Source organism: Homo sapiens, chromosome X (assembly GCF_000001405.40).
Source record: "Homo sapiens chromosome X, GRCh38.p14 Primary Assembly".
Classification (NCBI taxonomy): domain Eukaryota; kingdom Metazoa; phylum Chordata; class Mammalia; order Primates; family Hominidae; genus Homo; species Homo sapiens.
Window position 1 is genome coordinate 15,778,866 of NC_000023.11, and position 22,683 is coordinate 15,801,548.

General features: G+C 42.2%; 2 protein-coding genes and 2 long non-coding RNA genes across 5 annotated transcripts in view, besides 4 other annotated features; 3 read left to right on the forward strand and 1 right to left on the reverse strand.

The window, feature by feature from the left end:
* The window catches only part of CA5BP1-CA5B (CA5BP1-CA5B readthrough), a 112,954-nt gene extending 103,408 nt beyond the window's left edge, over positions 1-9,546 (forward strand). The window contains exon 12 of the long non-coding RNA NR_160544.1: positions 3,620-9,546. This is a non-coding gene — a long non-coding RNA (CA5BP1-CA5B readthrough). The remainder of the gene's footprint in view (positions 1-3,619) is intronic.
* The window catches only part of CA5B (carbonic anhydrase 5B), a 50,142-nt gene extending 40,596 nt beyond the window's left edge, over positions 1-9,546 (forward strand). Inside the window, exon 8 of the mRNA NM_007220.4 lies at positions 3,620-9,546. Within this exon, the coding sequence (NP_009151.1) occupies positions 3,620-3,799 (180 nt within the window). The 3' untranslated portion in view covers positions 3,800-9,546. The remainder of the gene's footprint in view (positions 1-3,619) is intronic.
* Positions 3,528-3,647: an enhancer, noted in NCBI's record as "active region_29449". NCBI's record gives its function as "activates an Ori minimal core promoter by ATAC-STARR-seq in GM12878 lymphoblastoid cells {active_cell/tissue: GM12878}" and the evidence as "EXISTENCE:reporter gene assay evidence [ECO:0000049][PMID:35858748]".
* Positions 3,668-3,987: an enhancer, noted in NCBI's record as "active region_29450". NCBI's record gives its function as "activates an Ori minimal core promoter by ATAC-STARR-seq in GM12878 lymphoblastoid cells {active_cell/tissue: GM12878}" and the evidence as "EXISTENCE:reporter gene assay evidence [ECO:0000049][PMID:35858748]".
* On the reverse strand, positions 6,851-8,724 carry INE2 (inactivation escape 2). Its single transcript, NR_002725.2, has one exon. It is a non-coding gene; the product is annotated as an inactivation escape 2 (long non-coding RNA).
* Positions 11,497-11,946: an enhancer, noted in NCBI's record as "active region_29451". NCBI's record gives its function as "activates an Ori minimal core promoter by ATAC-STARR-seq in GM12878 lymphoblastoid cells {active_cell/tissue: GM12878}" and the evidence as "EXISTENCE:reporter gene assay evidence [ECO:0000049][PMID:35858748]".
* Positions 11,619-22,683, forward strand: part of ZRSR2 (zinc finger CCCH-type, RNA binding motif and serine/arginine rich 2) — a 32,777-nt gene continuing 21,712 nt past the window's right edge. Inside the window, exons 1-3 of one of the 2 annotated variants that reach the window (NM_005089.4) lie at positions 11,619-11,671; positions 12,069-12,148; positions 21,007-21,088. In NM_005089.4, the coding sequence (NP_005080.1) occupies positions 11,631-11,671; positions 12,069-12,148; positions 21,007-21,088 (203 nt within the window). In that variant the 5' untranslated portion in view covers positions 11,619-11,630. The other variant, XM_011545589.4, reaches the window with a different exon arrangement.
* Positions 12,605-13,106: an enhancer, noted in NCBI's record as "H3K4me1 hESC enhancer chrX:15809593-15810094 (GRCh37/hg19 assembly coordinates)". NCBI's record gives its function as "activates a minimal SCP1, AML or CMV promoter by ChIP-STARR-seq in primed H9 embryonic stem cells {active_cell/tissue: H9 hESC(primed)}" and the evidence as "EXISTENCE:reporter gene assay evidence [ECO:0000049][PMID:30033119]".

Below are 22,683 nucleotides of genomic sequence, written 5' to 3' on the forward strand. Positions count from 1 at the left end.
CCCTGACACAGGGGGATTACAATTCGACGTGAGATTTGGGTAGGGACACAGGGCCAAACCACACCAGATATAGATAAAGATAAAAAAAATTAAGAAAGACAAAGTTAGATAAATAACCCTATAAAGGTTAAATAACCTTAACTCTATAACCCTATAAAGATAAATAAAGAAAAAGATAGATAAAGTTGTATCATAAGGTATTGGCTATGTGATTATGGAGACTAAGAAGTCTTACAATCTGCCATCTGCAAGCTGGAGACCCAGGAAAGACAGTGGTGTAGTTCAAAGGCCTGAGAGCTGGAGAGCTGATAATGTAGATTTCTATCTTGGTCTGAAAGCCTGAGAACCAGGAGCTCCGAAGAAAGGAGACGATTGATGTTCCAGCTCAAGCAATCAGAGCAAATTCAGCCTTCCTCTGCCTTTTTGTTCTATTCAGACCCTCAGTTTATTGGATGACTCCCATCTACTTTAGGGAGGGCCATTCACTTTACTCAGTCTACCAATTTAAATCCTAATCTCCTCCAGAAACACCTTCATAGACATACATAGACACAGTATTTAACCTGTCTGTGCATCCCATGACCCAATCAAGTTGACACATAAAATTAACCATCACAGGAAGAAAATAATAATTTCAGAAATATATCCAAATACATATGAGAATTTATTTTATGATAAATATAGCATCTCAACTCAGTAGGCAGGAAAGATAGAGTATTCAGTATTTGGTAAATGCTGTTGAGGAATAATTGAGCAGGCATTTGGGGGAAAAAAATTGGATCCATCATTCAGACCTTACACAGGAATACATTCCAGATATATTACATGTAAAAACTACCACCATGAAAGTACTAGGATAAGCATAGGAAAATCCTTTTATGCCTGCAAATGTATAGGCTTTGTGGCCTATACATTTAGTCTGTTTCTATTCTTTGGATTAAAAAATTGACACATTTCCTTGACTTATATTCCTTCTAGAAAAACAAATGGACATAACATTGAAAAACAAATAAAGCAAATACATCAGAGGGTCAGTGGCCCATGTGAGGACTTTGTAAATACGATTTCAACAAAATTTTAAAATTTATTTTTCAATTATATAATTTAAAATTTTATTTTCTGGTCTAACTGTACTGGCTACTTCTAGAATGTAATTTAATATAAAACTTACGGTAACACTGAAAATTTAGTAAGGAAAACAGTGCTACCTGTCATCTATAATATTATCCTAGTTGCCTATAATTTTACCACTATCATTGTTTGGGGAAATCCTTCTGGTCTCTTGTCTGTCCAGATGCACATAAGTCCTTATGGTCTTTTATCTATATAAATATACACAATTTTTGTATGAAAATGGAATCATTCTGTACATACCATTTTGCTGCTCTTTTCACTCAGTGATGCCTGGAACATTTTTTTTTTTTTTTAAGACGGTCTCTAGCTGTTGCCTGGGCTGGAGTGCAGTGGCACGATCTCGGCTCACTGCAACCTCTGCCTTGCACGTTCAAGCAATTCTCCTGTCTCAGCCTCCCAAGTAGCTGGGATTACAGGCGCCCGCCACCACGCCTGGCTAATTTTTTGTATTTTTAGTAGAAATGGGGTTTCACTGTGTTGGCCAGGCTGGTCTCGAACTCCTGACCTCGTGATCCACCCGCCTCGGCCTCCCAAAGTGCTGGGATTACAGGTGTGAGCCACCCCACCCAGCTGCATGGAACATTTTATAGATAATGAACATCTTCAGTATTATTTTTAAGGACTATATACTAGTTCATTTCATAGATCAGATGTCATTTATCTTTGATACTTAGACTATTTCTAATCTTCTGCAATTAGCTGAATAAAAAGAAACATTAGCTACTTGTACAGCTTTCTAATTAGTGAGGGCTTTTGTGTAATTTGCATGTGCAGCCGCTGTGTGATATGTTCATTGCTTGCTTTCAGTCGTAGTTCTGCCTCTTCAGCTCTATTTGCCCTGAAGTCTTTGTTGCAAATGACTCTTCGCTTGCTTGTCTACTGTGCCCCAGGCTGTCTTCTCAGTTGTTACAATGAGGCAGATTGAATGAGGGGAAATGTGAATGGATTTTCCTGCTGGCCTGAAGTAAAGTATTTTGTTTTCTTTTTTTTTTTTTTGACATGGAGTTTCACTCTCGTTGCCCAGGTGAGAGTCCAGTGGCGCGTGCCCAGGTGAGAGTCCAGTGGCGCGATCTCGGCTCACTGCAACCTCCACCTCCTGGGCTCAGTAGCTGGGATTACAGGCATGAGCCACCACGCCCAGCTAATTTTGTAATTTTAGTAGAGACAGGGTTTCACCATGTTAGTCAGGCTGGTCTCGAACTTCTGACCTCAGGTGAGCCACCCGCCTCGGCCTCCCAAAGTGCTGGGATTACAAATGTAGGCCACCACGCCCGGCCTAAGTAAAGTATTTCATAACACAATTGGGTCTGAAACCAAGGGGCTACTGGTTGATACTGCAGCCACATCAGAGAACAAGCCGTTGATATTCTGGGTTGCTCCTTTTGCATTGAGTTGTATTGTCTAATATTGTAACCACTGGACACATGTAACCATTTACATTTAAATATAAATACATTAAAAATAAAATTCAGTTCCTCAGTTACACTGGCCACATTTCAAGTGCCCAGTAGCCACATGTGGCTTGTGACTACCGTAATGGACCGTGCAGAGGACATTTCCGTCATTGCAGAAAGTTCTATTGGACAGCACCAGCATAGAGCATCCTGTCTCCAGTTAAGACACCTACATGCAGCCTGGTGTGGTAGCTCACACCTGTAATCCCAGCACTTTGGGAGACCTAGCTGGGAGGATCACTTGAGGCCAGGAGTTCAAGACCAGCCTGGGCTGAACATAGCAAGACCCTGTCTCTACAAAAAATTAAAAAATTAGCTGGGTGTGGCAGCATGTGCCTATAATCCCAGCTACTTGGGAGGCTGAGGTGGGAGATCACCTGAGTCCCAGAGGTTGAGCCTGCAGTGAATCATGATCACACCACTGCATTCTAACCTGGGTGGGTGACAGAGTAAGACTTTGTCTTTAAAAAAAACAAAAAAAAAAAGAAAGAAAGAAAAGGAAAAAAAAAAGACGTTTATATTCATTGCTTTGCCCACAATACCCAGGTGCAGTGAGCAATCAATAATACTTATTTTATGTTCATGATTCAGTTAAATTGTTTTATAAACCCACTTTTTTTGGTGTTGTTAGTATATGCATCAGGGCTTTCCTTTCTCATTCTGTAAGCTGGCTGTTTTGCTCATTTAAAGAGGAAGTTCTTGAGAATGAAAGAGATGAATTAACTCATCCTTGGTAAATGGATAATATGTGGGGACAGGGCCTTTGCCCCAAGTCTTTGGATCCCAAGTGCCCTCCTGGTTTCACCACCTCTTGCTGCTCTCCTCCCCACAGGACCACCATCAGGATCACCACCACCACTGGGCATTTTATTCCCTGTCAAGTGGTGAAGGCGTTCTTACCCAGAAATAACTTCTCCTTCTGTATCTAATTTGCAACGAATGCTCAGAATTGTAAAAATGAAAGTAATTTATTCACGAGGTAAAGCGAGTTTTCTGTTGAAATTATTTATGCTTTCTGTTTCTATTTCTAGCTTGAGCAATTTCGGACCCTGCTTTTCACTTCCGAAGGGGAGAAAGAGAAAAGAATGGTGGACAACTTCCGCCCCCTTCAGCCACTGATGAATCGCACTGTTCGTTCATCCTTCCGGCATGATTATGTGCTGAATGTACAAGCGAAACCCAAGCCGGCCACCAGCCAAGCAACCCCCTAAAACATTCATATCTAGGCAGTATTTTGCTTTTGCTTTAATATATACTAGCTTACTATAAATTGTTAACTAGACTATTCTAAGTGCCTGCATTTGATAATATTTACAGATGTGCATTTCTTAGCATGAGAGTGCTTCATCAGTCTTTGAGGAAGGCTATTCGGTACCAGCAAGAGACACAAGTTTCTCTTACAGATACCTGTTGGTAATTGTAATGCCTTTTTTTTTTCTTTAAGAGACTAGGTCTTGCTCTGCTGCCCAGGCTAGAGTGCAGTGGCCAAATGATAGCTCACTGCAGCCTTGAACTCCTAGGCTCAAGCAGTCCTCCTGCCTTAGCCTCTAGAGTAGCTGGGGCTACAGGTGCTGGCCGCCTGGCCCAGCTTGTAATATCTTTTTATGTCTGACATTTTTGAGCTATCTTTTTATGTTTATCCATTAGTGGTTCTATAGCACTATACATAGGGATTATAATCAAAATTTTTAACATGTGGTAAGGCACAGACACTGACCAGAACTCAGGCCTTGCAGAAACAGCCTATGGGCCCAGACTGGTACTTCCTGGCTGAATATTGGCCATGGTTTTAGATGTATTTTATTTTATAACATGAATGTGTATTCTTTCATAAGGGCTTATCAGTCAGTATATTTGCCCCAGTGTTTAGTTGTTACAAGGACATGATATGCTTACTTACTATCAGTTTATGATGTAGAAAATATATTTTGTAATTATAAGAAAACAAGACTTTTCCTATACCCAGAAATCCCTTTGCATTTCCGAAGATCAGATATTTTGCTTAAAGGTCTGATCATATAGGAAATATATGCAGAACATTTTAAAGAAAATGCCTGGCTGGGCACAGTGGCTCACACCTGTAATCCCAGCACTTTGGGAGGCTGAGGCGGGTAGCTCACTTGAGGTCAGGAGTTTGAGACCAGCCTGGCCAACATGATGAAACCCTGTCACTACTACAAATAAAAAATTAGCCAGGCATGGTGGTGAGCACCTGTAATGCCAGCTACTCGGGAAGCTGAGGCTGGAGAATCGCTTGAACCCAGGAGGTGGTGGTTGTAGTGAACCAAGATCACACCACTGCACTCCAGCCTGGGCAACAGAGTGAGACTCTGTGTCTAATAAAAAAAAAAAAAGAAAAGAAAAGAAAAAATGCTTAAAGTGCCTAGAACTTAGAATTCTTTCATTGCACATTTCCAGAAATATTTTTCTTTTCTTTTTTTTTTTTTTTTTTGAGATGGAGTCTCGCTCTGTCCCCCAGGCTGGAGTGCAGTGGCACTATCTTGGCTCACTGCAACCTCCACCTCCCGGGTTTAAGCGATTCTCCTGCCTCAGCCTCCTGAGTAACTGGGACTACAGGCACATGCCACCACGCCCAGCTAATTTTTGTATTTTTAGTAGAGATGGGGTTTCACTATGTTGGCCAGGCTGGTCTTGAACTCCTGACCTCAGGTGATCCACCCGCCTTGGCCTCCCAAAGTGCTGGGATTACAGGCGTGAGCCACCGTGCCCGGCCTTCCAGAAATATTTTTCAAAGGACTAGTAATCTAATAGCCTATAGTTTATATTATTATTTTGTATTATTTGCACGCTGTTACATAGTATATAATGATAATGTTTTCTACAGTGAAAGAGCTATCCCGTCTTCCCTTTACAACTGTCTGAACTTTATTTACTCATTAGTCAAGGTTCTTTGCAAGGCAGGTGATTAACTTAAATATCTCAGTTTATACAGTGGTTTAAAAGACTTTTGTTATGGTAATAGGGAGAGAAACTTGTCAGATAGGCTAAAATCTAGATAATTCTACATATTCTGAGGAATTCATGCTCCTGTGGCTCTTGCTTATAAATATCTTGGAATGTTTCTGAATGCCTCTAAGCCTATGTTCAGACTCTGTTGCGTCAATGACTGGTAGTATTTCTTTCATTAATATGTTTGTCATCTGGTCTGCAAGATAGGGTTGGATGAATATACTTAACACTACTGAACTGTACACTTAAAGATCGTTAGGAAGGAAACGGGACTACATCAAACTTAAAAATGTCTGTGTGTCAAAGGAAGCAATCAACAAAGTGAAAACGCAAGCTCTAGAATGAGAGAAAATAATTGCAAATCGTCTATCTTATAAGGAGCCCAAATCCAGAATATATGAGGAACTTCTACAACTCAACAACAAAAAACCAAATAACTCAATTTTTAAAAATGGGCAAAGGACTTGCACAGACATTTCTCCAAAGAAGTTATACAATTGGCCAATAAGAACATGAAAATATGCTCAACATTGCCAATTATTAGGGAAATGCAAATCAAAACCACAATGAGATATCGTCTCACGCCCATCATGATGGCCACTATCAGAAGAACAAAAAAATAACAAGTATTGGGGAGGATGCAGAGAAGTTGAAACCCTTGTGCACTGTTGGTGGTAATGTAAAACGGTGCAGTCATTACGGAAAACAGTACACAGGTTTCCCAAATAACTGAAAACAGAATTACCATAAGAATTACCACCAAAGCGGGATCTCAAAGAGATATTTGTACACCCATGTTCATAGCAGCATTATTCACAATAGCCAAGAGGTTCTGGAAGCATCCCAAATGTCCATCAACAGATGAATAGATAAAGGAAATGTGGTATATACAGTCAATGGAATATTATTCAGCCTTTAAAAAGAAGGAAATCCTGTCAAATGTACAATGTGGATGAACCTTGAAGGCATTATGCCAAGTGAAATAAGCCAGCCAACAAAAGAACAAATGCTATATGATTCCTCCATGTGAAGTATGCAAAGTAGTCAAAATCATACAATAGAAAGTAGAAAGGTGGTTGCCAAGCAACGGTTGGGGGAAGGGGAGAGGGTGAATTTGTATTTAGTGGGTACAGAGCTTGTGTTGCAAGAATTCTAGAGATCTGTTGCAAAACAAGTGTGATTGTACTTAACACTACTGAACTGTATACGTATAAGTTTGAGAAATATCTCTTTTAAAAAGGGGGAAATGTGAAGGCTTTTGCATGTATGCCCTAGGAAATGCATAGAATTCTTAGAAAGGTAAACATGGTAAAAAAAGAAGTCTTTGTTAACTTTCTGCAGTTCACCTGTTTCAAAGTATAGTTACCTTTAAAAGGGTAAACACACAAGATATGCATTTTCCAAAGCATACAGGCTTTCCTCCTAGCTGTCTTGTTTTTTATTTTTTTTTATTTTTTTTATTTTTTTGAGACAGAGTCGCGCTGTCACCCGGGCTGGAGTGCAGTGGCGCGATCTCGGCTCACTGCAAGCTCCGCCTCCCGGGTTCACGCCATTCTCCTGCCTCAGCCTCCTGAGTAGCTGGGACTACAGGCGCCCGCCACCACACCCGGCTATTTTTTGTATTTTAAGTAGAGACAGGGTTTCACCGTGTTAACCAGGATGGTCTCGATCTGACCTCGTGATCCACCCGTCTTGGCCTCCCAAAGTGCTGGGATTACAGGTGTGAGCCACTGTGCCTGGCCTTCCTAGCTGTCTTGTGAAACGATAAGTCAAAACCCTACTGCAGTGAGTTTTCCAAACTGAAGGGAGAAGCAATGTACAGAATGCCTGACTTGCCCTTACATCTTATACCTGGTGTTCTGGCATGATTATTAACCACACTCTTTTTCACTTTGAACCATGTCCTGGTTTGCATGGCCAGCTTCCCTGCAGAGGTGATAGAAACTGACTTGAGGCAGTTTCTTTCTCCATGCCTTAGTTAGATGACCCTCAAAGGGGCACAGCAGATTTCCCTGGCTACTGATACACCTTAACAAGAAGCTTGTGTTTTTTATGCCCTCAAAAGTGTTTTACTTATACTTTCCTAGACATAAAGGTGGAAAATGGGCCTAAGGTCTGTCAAAGGTCTTGGAAAAGAAGATTGTATTAAAATTGCTGTCCGTCTTCATTAAATAATACTAGATCGATACAATGCTTTCTTTACAGTATTAGTGGTTGGTGAAAGACTTCCTTCCTATTGTTACAGTATATGTATATATCTGTAAAATTAATGAGATATCCTTTAACTTGTAGATTAGAAAGCGACTAAAAACTCATAGGGGATTTACTAAAGAAGCAACAATGGGAAGAAGCAGCCGATCCTCCTCAGTGCACCTTTTTCTGTTGCACAGTACAGTGCACAGTGTGCTGGCATCACCATATAGGGCAAGCTGTGACCGCCTTTCTCCTTTCCCAGGGCTACATGGTGCCAAGCAGGTTCAGTGTACACTGGTTACCAACCTGTCTGATTCCATTGTGACAGAACACACTCACACCCAATACATTACATGAAGCAGATTTATTACTTACAGACAGGAAGCAAGGGACAAAAGAGGCCCTGGCTCCATTGTGAGCCAGTCCCCCAGGGCTCAAGAAAGCTGCCCAGGGCGGGGCTGATGGAGTCTTGATTGTACGTGCCCCACTTGCACCACAGCCTGCCTTGGGTTATATACCATAGGAGCCACATAACTCATTGGGCAAAGCTTTAAAGTACATCCTCCTTCCAGGGGAAAGAGGAACACAACCTCGCTGTCTCAAACAGTTCCCTAAATCAAGATGTTACATTCCCTAGGAGGGACAACAACAAGGCCAACCTGTTTCAGGCAGTTCCTCCATATCAGGATATTGCATTCCCAGTGCATTCTACAGTTATTCTTAAGAACTACAAGCAAGGAAGAAGGGAGAACTGGGTCAGTCCAAGGCCACCTGGAGAACTGTCTTGTACATGGGTTAGGGTAAAGTTGGCTATTCTAAAACTAAGCATCCGCCCAAAAGAAGTCTTGGAAGATGTCTTTCCCTGTTAAATTCAGATGATGGTAATTATAGTTTGGAAGTGGAATTGGCTTTTAGAGTTACTTCCTGTAATGAAATTAACAAGCAATTCAGGCCTATTTCTGAAAATGAATTCAGTGGTTAATTGTTAAAAATAAATGTCTAACTCCTATAAAAGGAAATTTACATTCATTTCTAACTCACTAAAAAATCTATGGCCGGGTGCGGTGGCTCATGCCTGTAATCCCAGCATTTTGGGAGGCCGAGGCGGGCAGATTACCGGAGGTCAAGAGTTCGAGAACAGCCTGGCCAATATGGTGAAACCCCGTCTCTACTAAAAAATACAAAAATTAGCCAGGTGGTTGTGGCATGCACCTGTAATCCCAGCTACGCAGGAGGCTGAGGCAGAAGAATCGCTTGAGCCCAGGAGGCGGAGGTTGCAGTGAGCCGAGATTTCTTAGAAGGAATTGTTACTTATTGTTCTGAAGTGAAAGTCTGGTCTGATTCAGAAGAAATGTTACAACAACTTAAACACTGATGCTTTCAGAACGGGCAGCAATTCTCAGCGTAAATTCTGATCACAGGGACCAGCAAAATTGGTGAGTTGCATAGCTACAACATTCTGTGCCATCCAGGGCACTCTAGTTTGGGGATACAACTGCCAAACCTCCAACTAGAGAGTTTAGTTTAAGATTTAGTCAAGAAGCAGAAAGGTAAAGGTGACAATGTGTAGTAAACCATGATAGATGTTATAAAAGGTGGAATACTTGTACTGGAAATGCATACAGCGCCTCATCCCCTCTTGAGGGGTCAGGAAGTTTTCACACTAATGATGATGGTGATGAGATGATGTAACAGCTAAAGTTTTGGAGGCATTCACTATTGCTAGGCACTGTATCAGCATATAACATGGCTTATCTTACTCAGTTTTCACAATAAAAGGGTTATGAGATGGGAACTATTATTACTATCTTGATTTTTACAAATGAGAAAACAGGAGTAGACATTAAGGAATTTACTCAAGATCACAGCCAACCAATGCACTGAGCTGGACAAGGTCAACTTGGGGGTGAAGGGCATATGTGTTGCTCCAAGTGTGTCAGTATAAGAGAGATTAGGGTGAGGTTTTATGCAGAGTTTGGGCTTCAGCTGAGTAATTCTAAGGAGGGATTAGGGGAAGGAAGGCAGTTTAGTAATTGAGTATCTCAGAAACTTTAATTTGGAGGAGAACGGAACAAAGGTAGGCCAAGGAAGCTATTCAATCACTCAAAAGATAGAGGTTATTAGTCATTTTACAGCTGTAATGCATCCTTGTGAGGAACATTTTTTGCTTGGCCTTGTCCCTGGCCTTGTATGTGTACATTACAGTCTGATTATTAGTTGGGATGATTTTTAGTTTCTCAATCCCTACTCTCATTGCCCCAGTTTAATTCCTCAACACCTCTCACCTAGATTATTGTGATACTCTAGTTTTATCTTTTAAATCCTTTATATTGCAAAGCAGAGTGATTTACCTAAAACACAAACACAACCACAATAAGCCTCTATTTAAAAAGCTTTCAACGGTTCACTGTTGTCTCTACAGAATGTAAACAGAGCGTCTTAACATGGCACACCAGGCCCTCCTTAACCTAGCCCTCCCAGCCCATCACAACAACTATATTCCTTGATATTCTCGAATTGCACTTTATTTTGTTTTGTTTTTTTGAGACGGAGCCTTGCTCTGTTGCCCAGGCTGGAGGGCAGTGGTGCCATCTCGGCTCACTGCGGCCGCCACCTCCTGGGTTCAAGCAGTTCTCCTGTTTCAGCCTCCAGAGTAGCTGGGACTACAGGCATGTGCCACCACACCCGGCTAATTTTGTATTTTTAGTAGAGACGGGGTTTCACCATGTTGGCCAGGCTGACGAACTCCTGACCTCAGGTGATCCACCCGCCTAGGCCTCCCAAAGTGCTGGGATTACAGGCGTGAGCCGCTGCACCCAGCCTCGAACTGCACTTTAAATTGGATAGCTGGGCGGGCGTGGTGGCTCGCGCCTGTATTCCCAGCTACTCGGGAGGCTGAGGTGGAAGGATTGCTTGACCCCAGGAGGTCGAAGCTGCAGCGAGTCGTGATTGCGCCACTGCACTCCAACCTGGGTGAAAGACAAGACCCTGTCTCTAATATATAAGAAATGAATAAATAAATAAATTCGATTGCCAAAATTCTTGCTGTTCCCAGCATATTCCACTTTCACCTTTCAGCGCCTTTGCTTATGCTGATCTGACTGTAACTGCATTCCCACCCTTCTCCTTCTGGGTAAAGGGCATCTTCTTTCCAAACTCAACTCTTAGCATCAGAAAGCTGTCCCTGATACTGCAGTTGAGTCGCATGTGATACTGAAAAAAAAAGAAAAAAGGAAAAAAAAGAGAGCTCTCCCTGAATCCCTTGGTGGACTATGTTAGGTAAACTTCATCTTTGCCTGCATCATATTATGTATTGGTTCTTCTCTGCCCCCTCGATTGTAAACTCCTCAGGGGCAGAGGTAACAGCTTTGCAGCCCTGGGAGTTAGGTTTGCTTAAGGGACCAGAACAGGTGTGACTGGCAGGGAGCGAAGTCTGGAGCTTTGTCTGAGGCGCTGATAGGTGGATCGGCGGAAGGACGCGGAACCTGGACAGGTCGGAAATAAAGCCGGGCGAGCAGCTCTGTGCGCGATGTGACTTCATGAGTGGATGCTGAGAAAAGCGGCAGAGTACGACTTTAACCGCCTAGCCACAACACGTCCTGCTAGGGCGAGGAGGGAGACAGTGATACAGCACTGGGCAAGTGCTGAAGCGACAATTACTTCTAGGGCGGGGTAAAAGCCCCAGAGTATTTTTGCTGGAAGGAGGTATTTATTTGAGCAGGGTTCTGGAAGACGAGCCGCCGAAGGGTACCTCCGGCTTTCCGTTTCAAGTCCCACGCTGGTGGAGGTTGCTCGGTACCCGCGCCTGCGCGTGCCCGTCTCGACTCTTAGGCCCGCCCTTTCCTGCCAGACCTGGAGGGGCGGGGCGGTGCCGGCAAGATGGCTGCGCCCGAGAAGATGACGTTTCCCGAGAAACCAAGGTAAGCGCCGTACGGGGAGATGAGCAGGCGAGCGGGCCGATCGTGGGCATGGAGGATGTGGTGGCAGGAAGAAAAGAGAAGCTGGGCCAAGCTAAGTGAGCCACCGCGGCAGCTCCATTCCTTCCTGGTGCGCGCTCTGGTGCCCTCCCCGGACTTGCACGGGCGGCTGTGGCTCAGGCAAGCGAGGAGAGGATCAGGTTGGCGGATGGAGAAGAACTGTCTGGGAGTGGGAGGATGAGGCGATGATAGATGGCTGTTCTGTAATTAAAATACAGGAAGCAAGGTTTCTCTCCTCAGCACCCGAACTATTTCCTTTCATTGGGCACAGAGGAGCGGGGAGCTCGGGCAGCGCTGCATTGTAGCCGCTGATCGTCGTGTATATGTCTTAATCTTCCAGCCACAAAAAGTACAGGGCCGCCCTGAAGAAGGAGAAACGAAAGAAACGTCGGCAGGAACTTGCTCGACTGAGAGACTCAGGTGATGGACTCTTTATTCTGTTTTCTGTGTTGTGAAATTGCTCTGTCCACTCCAGCCCTAACTTGAAGCCCCAGTGTCAGAAGGAAGTCAAATATTGTGTCGGAGGAAAAATAGCTGTGACTTCTGCCCCCAAGTAGTTATTTAGAAACACATGTCAGAAACAATGTTAACATACTAAAGGCAGGAAGAGGAAGTCTTGGTGAATGATCGCCCACTGATTCTGTGTAACTTATAAAGTATCTAATATTACAGTTGCAAGCTTCATGAATTACAGCAGCTAGCACAGTCCTTGCACACGTAGTAAGTATTCGGTGAATGTTTTTCTTCGTAAAACCAGCAGGAGTTGAAGGTATTAATTAGACGTTTTGCAAGTTTTTCTCAAACTTGACTAATATGAGACCCTTGGTTTACCCAAATTATTATGTTATTCAAATATATATCAACATAATACTAGTTATGAAGCTCATTTATTTATTTTTGAGACAGGGTCTTGTTCTGTTGCCCAGGAGGGATGTGCACAACCACGGCTCACAGCAGCCTCCACCTCCCAGGCTCAAGCAGTCCTCCCACCTCAGCCTCCCTAGTAGCTGGGACTACAGGCATTCACCACCACACCTGGCTAATTTTTTCTTTTCTTTTCTTTTTTTTTTTTTTTTTTTTTGAGACGGAGTCTCGCTCTGTTGCCCAGGCTGGAGTGCAGTGGCACGATCTTGGCTCACTGCAGCCTCCGCCCCCTGGGTTCAAGCAGTTCTCCTGCTGCAGCCTCCCGAGTAGCTGGGATTACAGGCGTGCGCAACCACACCCGGCTAATTTTTGTATTTTTAGTAGAGATGGGGTGAAACCCCATCATGTTGGCCAGGCTGGTTTCGAACTTCTGACCTCAGGTGATCCACCCACCTCAGCCTCCCAAAGTGCTGGGATTAAAGGCGTGAGCTACCGCCCCTGGCCCACCTGGCTAATTTTTAAAATTTTCGTAGAGACGGGATTTCACTGTGTTGCCTGGGCTGGTCTCGAACTCCTGGCCTCAAGCAATCCTTCCACCTCGGCCTCCCAAAGTGCTGGGATTATAGGCATGAGCCACCACACCTGACCTGAAGCCATTGTTTGACTATAAAACAATATATGGGCTGGGCGCGTGGTGGCTCATGCCTGAAATCCCAGCACTTTGGAAAGCCGAGGCAGATGGATCACCTGAGGTCAGGGGTTCGAGACCTGCCTGGCCAACATGATGAAACCCTGCCTCTACTAAAAATACAAGATTAGCTGGGCTTGGTGGCAGGTGCCTGTAATCCCAGCTACTCAGGAGGCTGAGGCAAGAGGATCAGTTGAACCTGGGAGGCAGAGGTTGCAGTGAGCCGAGATCCTGCCACTGCACTTCAGTTTGGGCAACAGAGTGAGATTCTGTCTCAAAAAACAAACAAACAAATAAAAATACATTTATAAATTATAAAACTAAATGAAATTACACATTCGGTAAAATTTAAATCTACATCAGGTAATGCTAGGGATGATGTGAAACTAATGCTCCTCACAATATGTATATGGCACTGATGGGAGTTTGGAATGCCTCTACTAATGTTGCCTTATAGTTATTTACCACTTTTTCTATGAAATTACTGTAGAACCTTTATTTGTACAGATGGTCATTTGACCTTCACATGGCAAAACCTAACATTTATGTATTAAATCTACCTGCTTAATGCAATAAAATTAGGACTTAGTTATAAAATTATGTAGTAGTTATAAATCCAGATGGGAGCACTGAAATCACACAGTAGTACTGGCTTATAATGATTGTCATCCGCATTATCCAGAATATGCTCATGAAATTATCCTAGACAATTCTTAAAATCCAGAGACCATGGCCTCAAGTAACTAGGATTCTTGGACCTTGAGAAACATAGCCATAGAGGTTTTATTTACCATTGGTGTTCCTGAGTAATTATTTTAGTGTCAGTACTGGGATATTTAGAATGGAAGGAGCAGTGTGTTTAACTGCAACCTGTGTTAGCATTTCTGTCTTATTAGTTGAAAACTCATCCACTAGAGGCAGAACAAAGCATCAGGGATAAAAGGAAAAGTAGAATAGGTTGGAGTTATTGAGGCCCTTATTGTACTTCGTCTCTCCCCCCTTGAAATTTTCAGCTACTTTACTTTGTTCATTTAATCTGTTTTATTCTAAATATTATATATTCTAAATTTGTTTTAACTTCTTTCTCTTTTTCTTTTCCTGCACTAAATCCTATAACAGCTGGTATTTGTATTGTTTTGATTTTTTTTTTCCTTTTTACTTAGCAAAATGTGTTCAGAATGAGCCTCTGTGGAGAGTCAGGCGAGTCATGTCCCATGGTAGTTTAGCCCATTTTAATGGACTAAATCCAGGTCACTGGTCTGTCAAGATTATGTAACTAATGGCATATCCAAGACTAAGCACCTGTCTCTGCACTTCTGCTCCTACTTTTGCCCACTCCAACTCACAATTCTTTGCCTAGTGGTACTTCATGAATACTGTAGACTATGGAACACTCCTGGTTTTTTTTTTTGAGACAGAGTCTCACTCTCTCGCCCAGGCTGGAGTGCAATGGCACGATCTAGGCTCACTGTAACCTCTGCCTCCCAGGTTCAAGTGATTCTTCTGCCTCAGCCTCCTGAGTAGCTGGGATTACAGGTACCCACTATCATGCCCGGCTAATTCTTGTACTTTTGTAGAGATGGGGTTTCACCATGTTGGCCAGGCTGGTCTCAAACTCCTGATCTCAGGTGATCTGCCCACCTTGGCCTCCCAAAGTGCTGGGATTACAGGCGTGAGCCACTGCGCCCGGCCAGGAACACTGCTGTTTATTGTAGCACACGTTAGATGGGTAAACATTACCCAGAAGGCTAGAATGTTGAGTGTAACTATGAGAGTGCCTTGGCAAATGATTGGAGTGCCTTGGCAAATGATTTCTGGAATAGTGAGCTCTTAATTACAGATAGCTTCTTTGGCATCCATTCTACTTCAGATAACTGGAAACAAGCTACCTCGTCAGAAATTAAGATATTAAAAGCAAGTTGCAAAACTATAGCATGATTCTGTGTGTACAGTTACATGTACAGGTTGAGTATCCCTTATCTGAAATGCTTGCGTTGTATTTACCAGTTCAGCATCCCAAATCCAAAGATCCAAAATTCGAAATGCTCCAATGAGCATTTCCTTTGAGCATTGTTGTCACTCAAAATATTTCTCATTTTTGGATTTGGGGTGCTCAACCTGTATAATACCATTGGATATACATTTGATCCTTGAACAATGTGGGAGTTAGGGGACTCTGACCGCCCCCCGCCCCTCCCCACAGTGGAAAATTTGCATATAACTTTTCACTCCCCCAAAACTTACTATTAAGTGCCTGCTGTTGACTCTAAGCCTTACCAATAACATAAACAGTTGATTAACACATACTTTGTATGTTATATGTATTATATACCATATTCTTATAATAAAGTAAGCTAGAGAAAAGAATGTTACTAAGAAAATCCCGAGGAGGAGAAAATATATTTGCCCTTCATTAAATGGAAGTGGTTCATCATAAAGGTCTTCATTCTCCTTGTCTTAATGTTGAGTAGGCCGAGGAGGAAGAGGATGATTTGGTCTTGCTCTCTTGGGTGGCAGAGGTGGAAGAGGTGGAGGAGGTAGAAGGGAAGGCAAGAGGGTAGACGGCACTTGGTGTAACTTTGCAGAAATACATTATAATTTCTGTCTGACATTTTTGCTTTTTCATTTCTCTAAAAATGTTTCTATACAGTACCAATTCTTCCACCACTTGCTTTAGTTTAAATGCATTAGTTTTCAGTATAGAAGGGTCCATAAAAGAAGTCAAAAGCAGTCTTGAATAATTGGCCCTTCTGCCAGATTGTCTAGTGTCAATTTGTTTTCTGGCACTGCTTCACCTCAGTTTTCTTCCTCATCACCTTGCACTGGTTTGGAAGGACTCATCCCCATCAAATTGGCTTTTGTTAACTACTCTGGTGTGTCTGTTAGCTCTTGAATTTCTTCAAGATATCTTGAGACCCTTCACCCCGACCCCCCTGCACTTTTCCCCCCCCCCCATATTTACAATCTCTTTCACGATTTCCTTGATTGGCTCTGTCTTAAGTCCAATGATGCCATGCACAATATCTGGACACATTTTTTTCTCCAGCAGGACTTTGTTTTGGGCTTGATGATTTTCATGGCTTTTTCTATAACAACAATAGCATCTTCAATGGTATAATCTTTACACACTTTCTTGATACTCTCTGTATTAGGGTTCTCTCCCATAGCATTGACAATCCTTTCCGTAGAGTACCACGTGTAATGAGCTTTAGAGGTTCTTACGACCCCCTGGTCTAGAGGCTGAATTAGAAACATTGTGTTTGGGGGCAAGTAGACCACTTTGACACCTTCAGTGTTGAACTCATGGGGTTCTGGGTGGCCAGGGGCATTGTCCAATATTAAAATAATTTTAAAATCCAGTTCCTTATTGGCAAGGTACTTCCTGACTTCAGGGACAAAGCATCAGTGGAACCAATTCAGAAAAAAGGATTTCCATTGTCCAGGCCTTCTAGTTGTACAACCAAAAGACAGGCAGCTGGTGCTGATCTTTTCCCTTCAAGGATTGGGGGTGGGGGTTAGCAGCTTTATAGATAAGGGCAGTTCTGATCATAAACCCCACTACGTTTTCATGAAACAGTAGAGTTAGCCTGTCTCTTTTTGTTTTCAATCCTGCTGCTTGCTTCTCTTCCTACTAAATGTCCTTTGTGGTGTTTTTCTAGAATAGGATACTTTCATCTGCATTAAAAACCTGTTCAGGCCAGGCGCAGTGGCTCACGCCTGGAGTCCTAGCACTTTGGGAGGCCAAGGCGGGTGGATCACGAGGTCGGGACTTCGAGGGCAGCCTGGCCAACATGGTGAAACCCTGTCTCTGCTAAAAATACAAAAAGTAGCTGGGCGTCCTATTCACGCAGATATCCTTTCTCCTCAGTGATTTTCTTTTTTGTTTTTTGTTTTTTTTTTTGAGATGGAGTCTTGCTCTGTCGCCCAGGCTGGAGTGCAGTGGCATGAACTCGGCTCACTGCAACCTCCGCCTCCCGGGTTGAAGCAATTCTCCTGCCTCAGCCTCCAGAGTAGTTGGGATTACAGACACGCACCACCGCGCCCGGCCATCATGACTTTTCTCTGCTTCTTGAGAGCACTTCCAGCATCGCTAGTCGCACTTTGTGTGAGTCTCATGATGTTATTCAAGGTTTACCATTTTGTAGTAAACACAGTGAAAAATACGCCAGAGATCACTTCTTACTGCCATACACAATTTACTGAAGAGATGAACTGCTCATGCAGAGATGAGTAGTGTCACAAGGTGTTTTAAGTGAATACTCATAGTATTTGAGCTCACTGCAATAGCAGCAGGAGGTGGCTATGAAATTATTGCAGTAGTGCAGTGTGTACTACAGTTAATTTTTTTCTTCCTTCTGTACCTCATTGGATGCGTTTTTTTCCTTGTTTTGTACTACAGTTAATTTCATGCAGTTATGATTTAATACTGCATATTTATGTTTGTTTACATTTTTCTCAACTGTGAATGTGCCATATATGGTCTATAAATATAAGTTTTGATAAATTTTAACTTTAAAAAAAGTTGTCAATGATTATGTTGTAGCACAACTTTTATAGTAATATTCAAGGAAAAATGTTTGAGACCGAACTTCTCTGTCTTAGAATGGAATGAAGTCAGAGATCATTTTGTTTCAAATCGTTTTTTTTTTTTTTTTTTTTTTTTTTTGAGACAGAGTCTCGCTCTGTCGCCCAGGCTAGGGTGCAGTGGTGCAATTTCGGCTCACTGCAACCTCTGCTTCCCAGTTTCAAGCAATTCTCCTGCCTCAGCTTCCTGAGTAGCTGGGATTACAGGCGTGCACCACCACACCTGGCTAATTTTTTTATTTTTAGTAGAGATGGGGTTTCGCCATGTTGGCCAGGCTGGTCTCGATCTCCTGACCTCAAGTAATCCGTCCACCTCGGCCTCCGAAAGTGCTAGGATTACAGGCATGAGCCACCGCTCCCTGGCCTGTTTCAAATGCTTTAAGCAAGGAAACAATAAAACACTTAACTTATATTGTAACAGTATCTGTATATGTGCTGCTCAAGCCAGCACAATATTGCTTAACAGTATCTGCATTAACTTTTTTTTTTTTTTTTTTTGAGACGGTGTTTTGCTCTTGTTTCCCAGGCTGGAGTGCAGTGGCGCGATCTTGACTCACTGCAACCTCCACCTCCCGGGTTCAAGCAATTCTCCTCCCTCAGCCTCCCGAGTAGCTGGGATTACGGGGGGCTGCCACCACGCCCGGCTAATTTTTGTATTTTTAGTAGAGATGGGGTTCACCATGTTGGCCAGGCTGGTCTCGAACTCCTGACCTCAGGTGATCCGCCCGCCTTGGCCTCCCAAAGTGCTGGGATTCCAGGCATGAGCCACCACGCCCAGCTCTGCATTAACGTTTTATAATAGATTTATATTTATGGTAGCAAATGATAAAATAGACTAGTATGTACATATATTTTATGCATTCATGACATACCTTTTTCTTAATTTTTTTCAGTGTTTCTAGGCCATGCCACTTACCTATTTTTTTTTTCAAATTGTTGCAAATATCCCCTAAATGTTCCAGTGTGTTTACTGAAAAAAAATCTGTATTTAAATAGACCAAGGTGGTTCAAACCTGTGTTGTTCAAGGGTCAGCTGTATTGTATGTATATGTATTGCATATGTCCGATTGTACACGTGGGGAAAATGCTGTACCCAGAACTGTTAGCAATCACTTCTGTGGAGTATATGAGCTTGGTTTCGAGGTGATGGGGAGTTGAGTGAGTCAGTCAACAGGTGTTTGTGAGTGTCAGCTGTGTCTATGCCCTGTCTAATCTATGGCATACCTCTGCAAGTAGTCAGGCCATATCCTCTGTGCCAGGTTCTCTGGCGCTTTAAGTACATTAGATCATTTAATTATCTGAACAATTAGATACTATTTTATATGATTGAGAACTTATTCTACATTTGTTGCCCATTTTAATTCCAGCTGCTGAAATAATAAAGTTTACTTACTTAAGAAAAGTAAATTATTGTAATTATCTAAGACTGGATGAGCCTTCAGTTAGAACTGTACTCAACACATGTGACAAACAGACTCTTTTTTCTTTAAGCCTGACATCTGTAACATTTCTTTAAGATTATTTCAGTCTTCCATTTCTCTTCCACTTTCACTGATTTTTTTCCCAAATTTTGAATGGGAGAGGATGTAAATGTCTATTCTATTAAAAGTTGTTTTTTCATGTTTTTATTTGGGAAATGTTCTAATCTACAGAAAGTTGAAAAAAAGAGCACAATAAATATCCATGAACCCTTCAGCAAGATTTGCCAGTTGTTAAAGTTTGGCCTTTCTTTCTTTTTCTCTATTTAAAGAGATACATACATAGAACATTTTTTCTGAACCTTTTGGATGGCAGTTGCAGATAGCAGCACCTCACCCCTAAATTCTTCAGCTTGCAACTCCTAAGAATAAGGACATTCTCCCGCAGAACCACAATACCAAACTTGCACCTGAGTACATGAGCAAGTAATTCAATGGTATCATATACAGGCCATATTTAAACTTCCCCAAACCAGGATTGATTGTTTTGAAAAACTCAAGCCAGTTATCTTGTGGAATGCCCTGTATTCTGGATTGTTCTGTCTTCTCATGATTAACTTCAGGTAACAACACTCTTTAGAACAAAGGATTACAGAGCAGATGTTGTAAACTTCTTATTGCATACATCATGAGACCTTTCACATCAGGTTGTTGCACTCCCGGTGATGCTAACTGTGGTTAAGGTGTTACCCACCCAGGGCCGGACATGCTGGCTCATGCCTGTAATCCCAGCACTTTGGGAGGCCGAGGCAGGCGGATCACGAGGTCAGGAGATTGAGACCATCCTGGCCAATGTGGTGAAACCCCGTCTCCACTAAAAATACAAAAATTAGCTGGGCATGGTGGCGCGCGCCTGTAGTCCCAGCTACTTGGGAAGCTGAGGCAGGAGAATCGCTTGAACCCAGGAGGCGGAGGTTGCAGTGAGCCAAGATCGCGCCATTGCACTCCAGCCTGGCGACAGAGCAAGACTCCCGTCTCAAAAAAAAAAAAAAAAAGTGTCCAGATCGCTCCATTGGAAAGCATTGCATTTTTTCTTTTCTAATTAGTCCTCATGTCTGGGGTGATATGTTGAGATAGTGTGAATATACTCTTCCTAGCAAGCTTTCATTCGATGTTTTTAATGTCTTTGTCTAAATTTTTACAGTGGGGGTTGCAAAAGTGATGATTTTTCTACTTAAGTTTTTCTCCATTTTTTAGTTACCATTCTTCTGTGAAGATGGATGTTCCCTTCCACACCCCCACCACCTTTTTTTTTTTTTTTTTTGAGATGGAGTTTCACTCTTGTCGCCCAGGCTGTAGTGCAATGGCACGATCTTGGCTCACTGAAACCTCCACCTCCTGGGTTCAAGTGATTCTCCTGCCTCAGCTTCCCGAGTAGCTGGGATTACAGGTGCCTGCCACCATGCCAAGCTAATTTCCTTTTTAAGTATAATTGTGGAACCATTGATTAATTTTTAAATGTAATGTGCTATCTGCCACCCCTATTGTCCTTTTTGATGCTTGTGTTGTACCAAAGAAGGTTGATCAGAGACCTTTTTGTTAGAAAGTTTAAGAAAAAGATTTTTACCATAATTTTATACATTAAAGATTACATGTATTTTTTTCCTGAATTTTTGACCAAGGATTTGCAGCACTCAGTTTAATAAAACATTTAAATTCCCTAGGACTCTCACAGAAGGAGGAAGAGGAGGACACTTTTATTGAAGAACAACAACTAGAAGAAGAGAAGCTATTGGAAAGAGAGAGGTCAGTGCTAATTGAAACACTTAAAGTGAATGAAGTTATTTTATTGGAATATTATCAACCTTTACTAACCAGTACCAGTCTTCTGTATAAAATCTTGTACCAAATAGGTCTTATAAAATATCCTGTATAAAGTATTTAAATCTGTAGTTGATGGGCTAAAACTAGATGTTATTTTTTTTAAAAATGGAAGTACTTTTCTTCTGTTTTTGCTAATTTATAATTTTTTTTCTTTCTTTTTTTTTTTTTTTTTTTTAGACGGAGTCTCGCTCTGTTGCCAGGCTGGAGTGCAGTGGCATGATCTCAGCTCACTGCAATCTCCGCCTCCCGGGTTCAAGCGATTCTCCTGCCTCAGCCTTCCGAGTAGCTGGGACAACAGGTGTGCACCACCACACCCAGCTAATTTTTGTATTTTTAGTAGAGACAGGGTTTCACCATGTCGGCCAGGGTGGTCTTGATCTCTTGTGATCAAGTGATCCGCCTGCCTCAGCCTCCCAAAGTGCTGGGATTATAGGCATGAGCCACTGCGCCTGACCTGTAATTGTTTTTGAAAACAGAAAAAAAACAAAAAAAATTAACAAATGTAAAAAGGGAAAAGACTTTAATAATTGCAACACACCCAAAGATAGCCACTGTTAAGAAAGAGAAAAAGAAAGTGTAAATGTACTTTACGTGTGTCTTTCTATAATGGCATGATATTTATACATATTTTTCTATAAATTGCTTTCTTGCTAAATATATAGTGCATTTATTTCAGTACTGATGCAGGGATCTAATTCAGCCATTTCAGTGGCAATACAGTACCCACTGTACAGATGTAGCATAATTTATTTGCTATTCATAGTTTATTCATTTATAATTTATAGTTCTCTACTGATGGACTTTCAGGTTATATTGGTTTTTCACTCATATGTAAAAAGTTGCAGTAAGCATCCATGCTTATATATCCTTGGTAATTGTCCAGTTATTTCCTTAAGAACATGACTAAAAATGAGATTGTTGGAATCAAATCATAAGTCCATGTAAAATGTAGATGGCCAGGTAGAAAGGGCTTCCTGGTTTGCAGTTTGCAGCCCTTCTGGCAGTGAATGTAGGGGCCCATCTCCCCATACCTTCACTCATACTAGGCATTATCAGTTTATAAAACTATAATGAAACTGTTTCAAATGCACATTTCTGAATTAGGTAGAGTATCTTTTTATATGTTTTATTACCTATTTGTAGATTGCTCAAGTCTCACACCTTTCTCTTTTGGGATACATGTTTTTTTAAAATTTGTTTTTGTTTTGTTTTGTTTGAGACGGACTCTCGTTCTGTCACCAGGCTGGAGTGCAGTGGTGTGATCTCCGCTCACCGCAACCTCCACCTCCCAGGTTCACACGATTCTCCTGCCTCAGCCTCCCGAGTAGCCGGGATTACAGGCACGCACCGCCACACCCAGTTAATTTTTTTTTGTACTTTTAGTAGAGATGGGGTTTCACCATGTTGGCCAGGATGGTCTCGATCTCTTGACCTCATGATCTGCCCGCCTCGGCCTCACAAAGTGCTGAGATTACAGGTGTGAGCCACCGCGCTCAGCCGAAATTTCTTAATGTCTC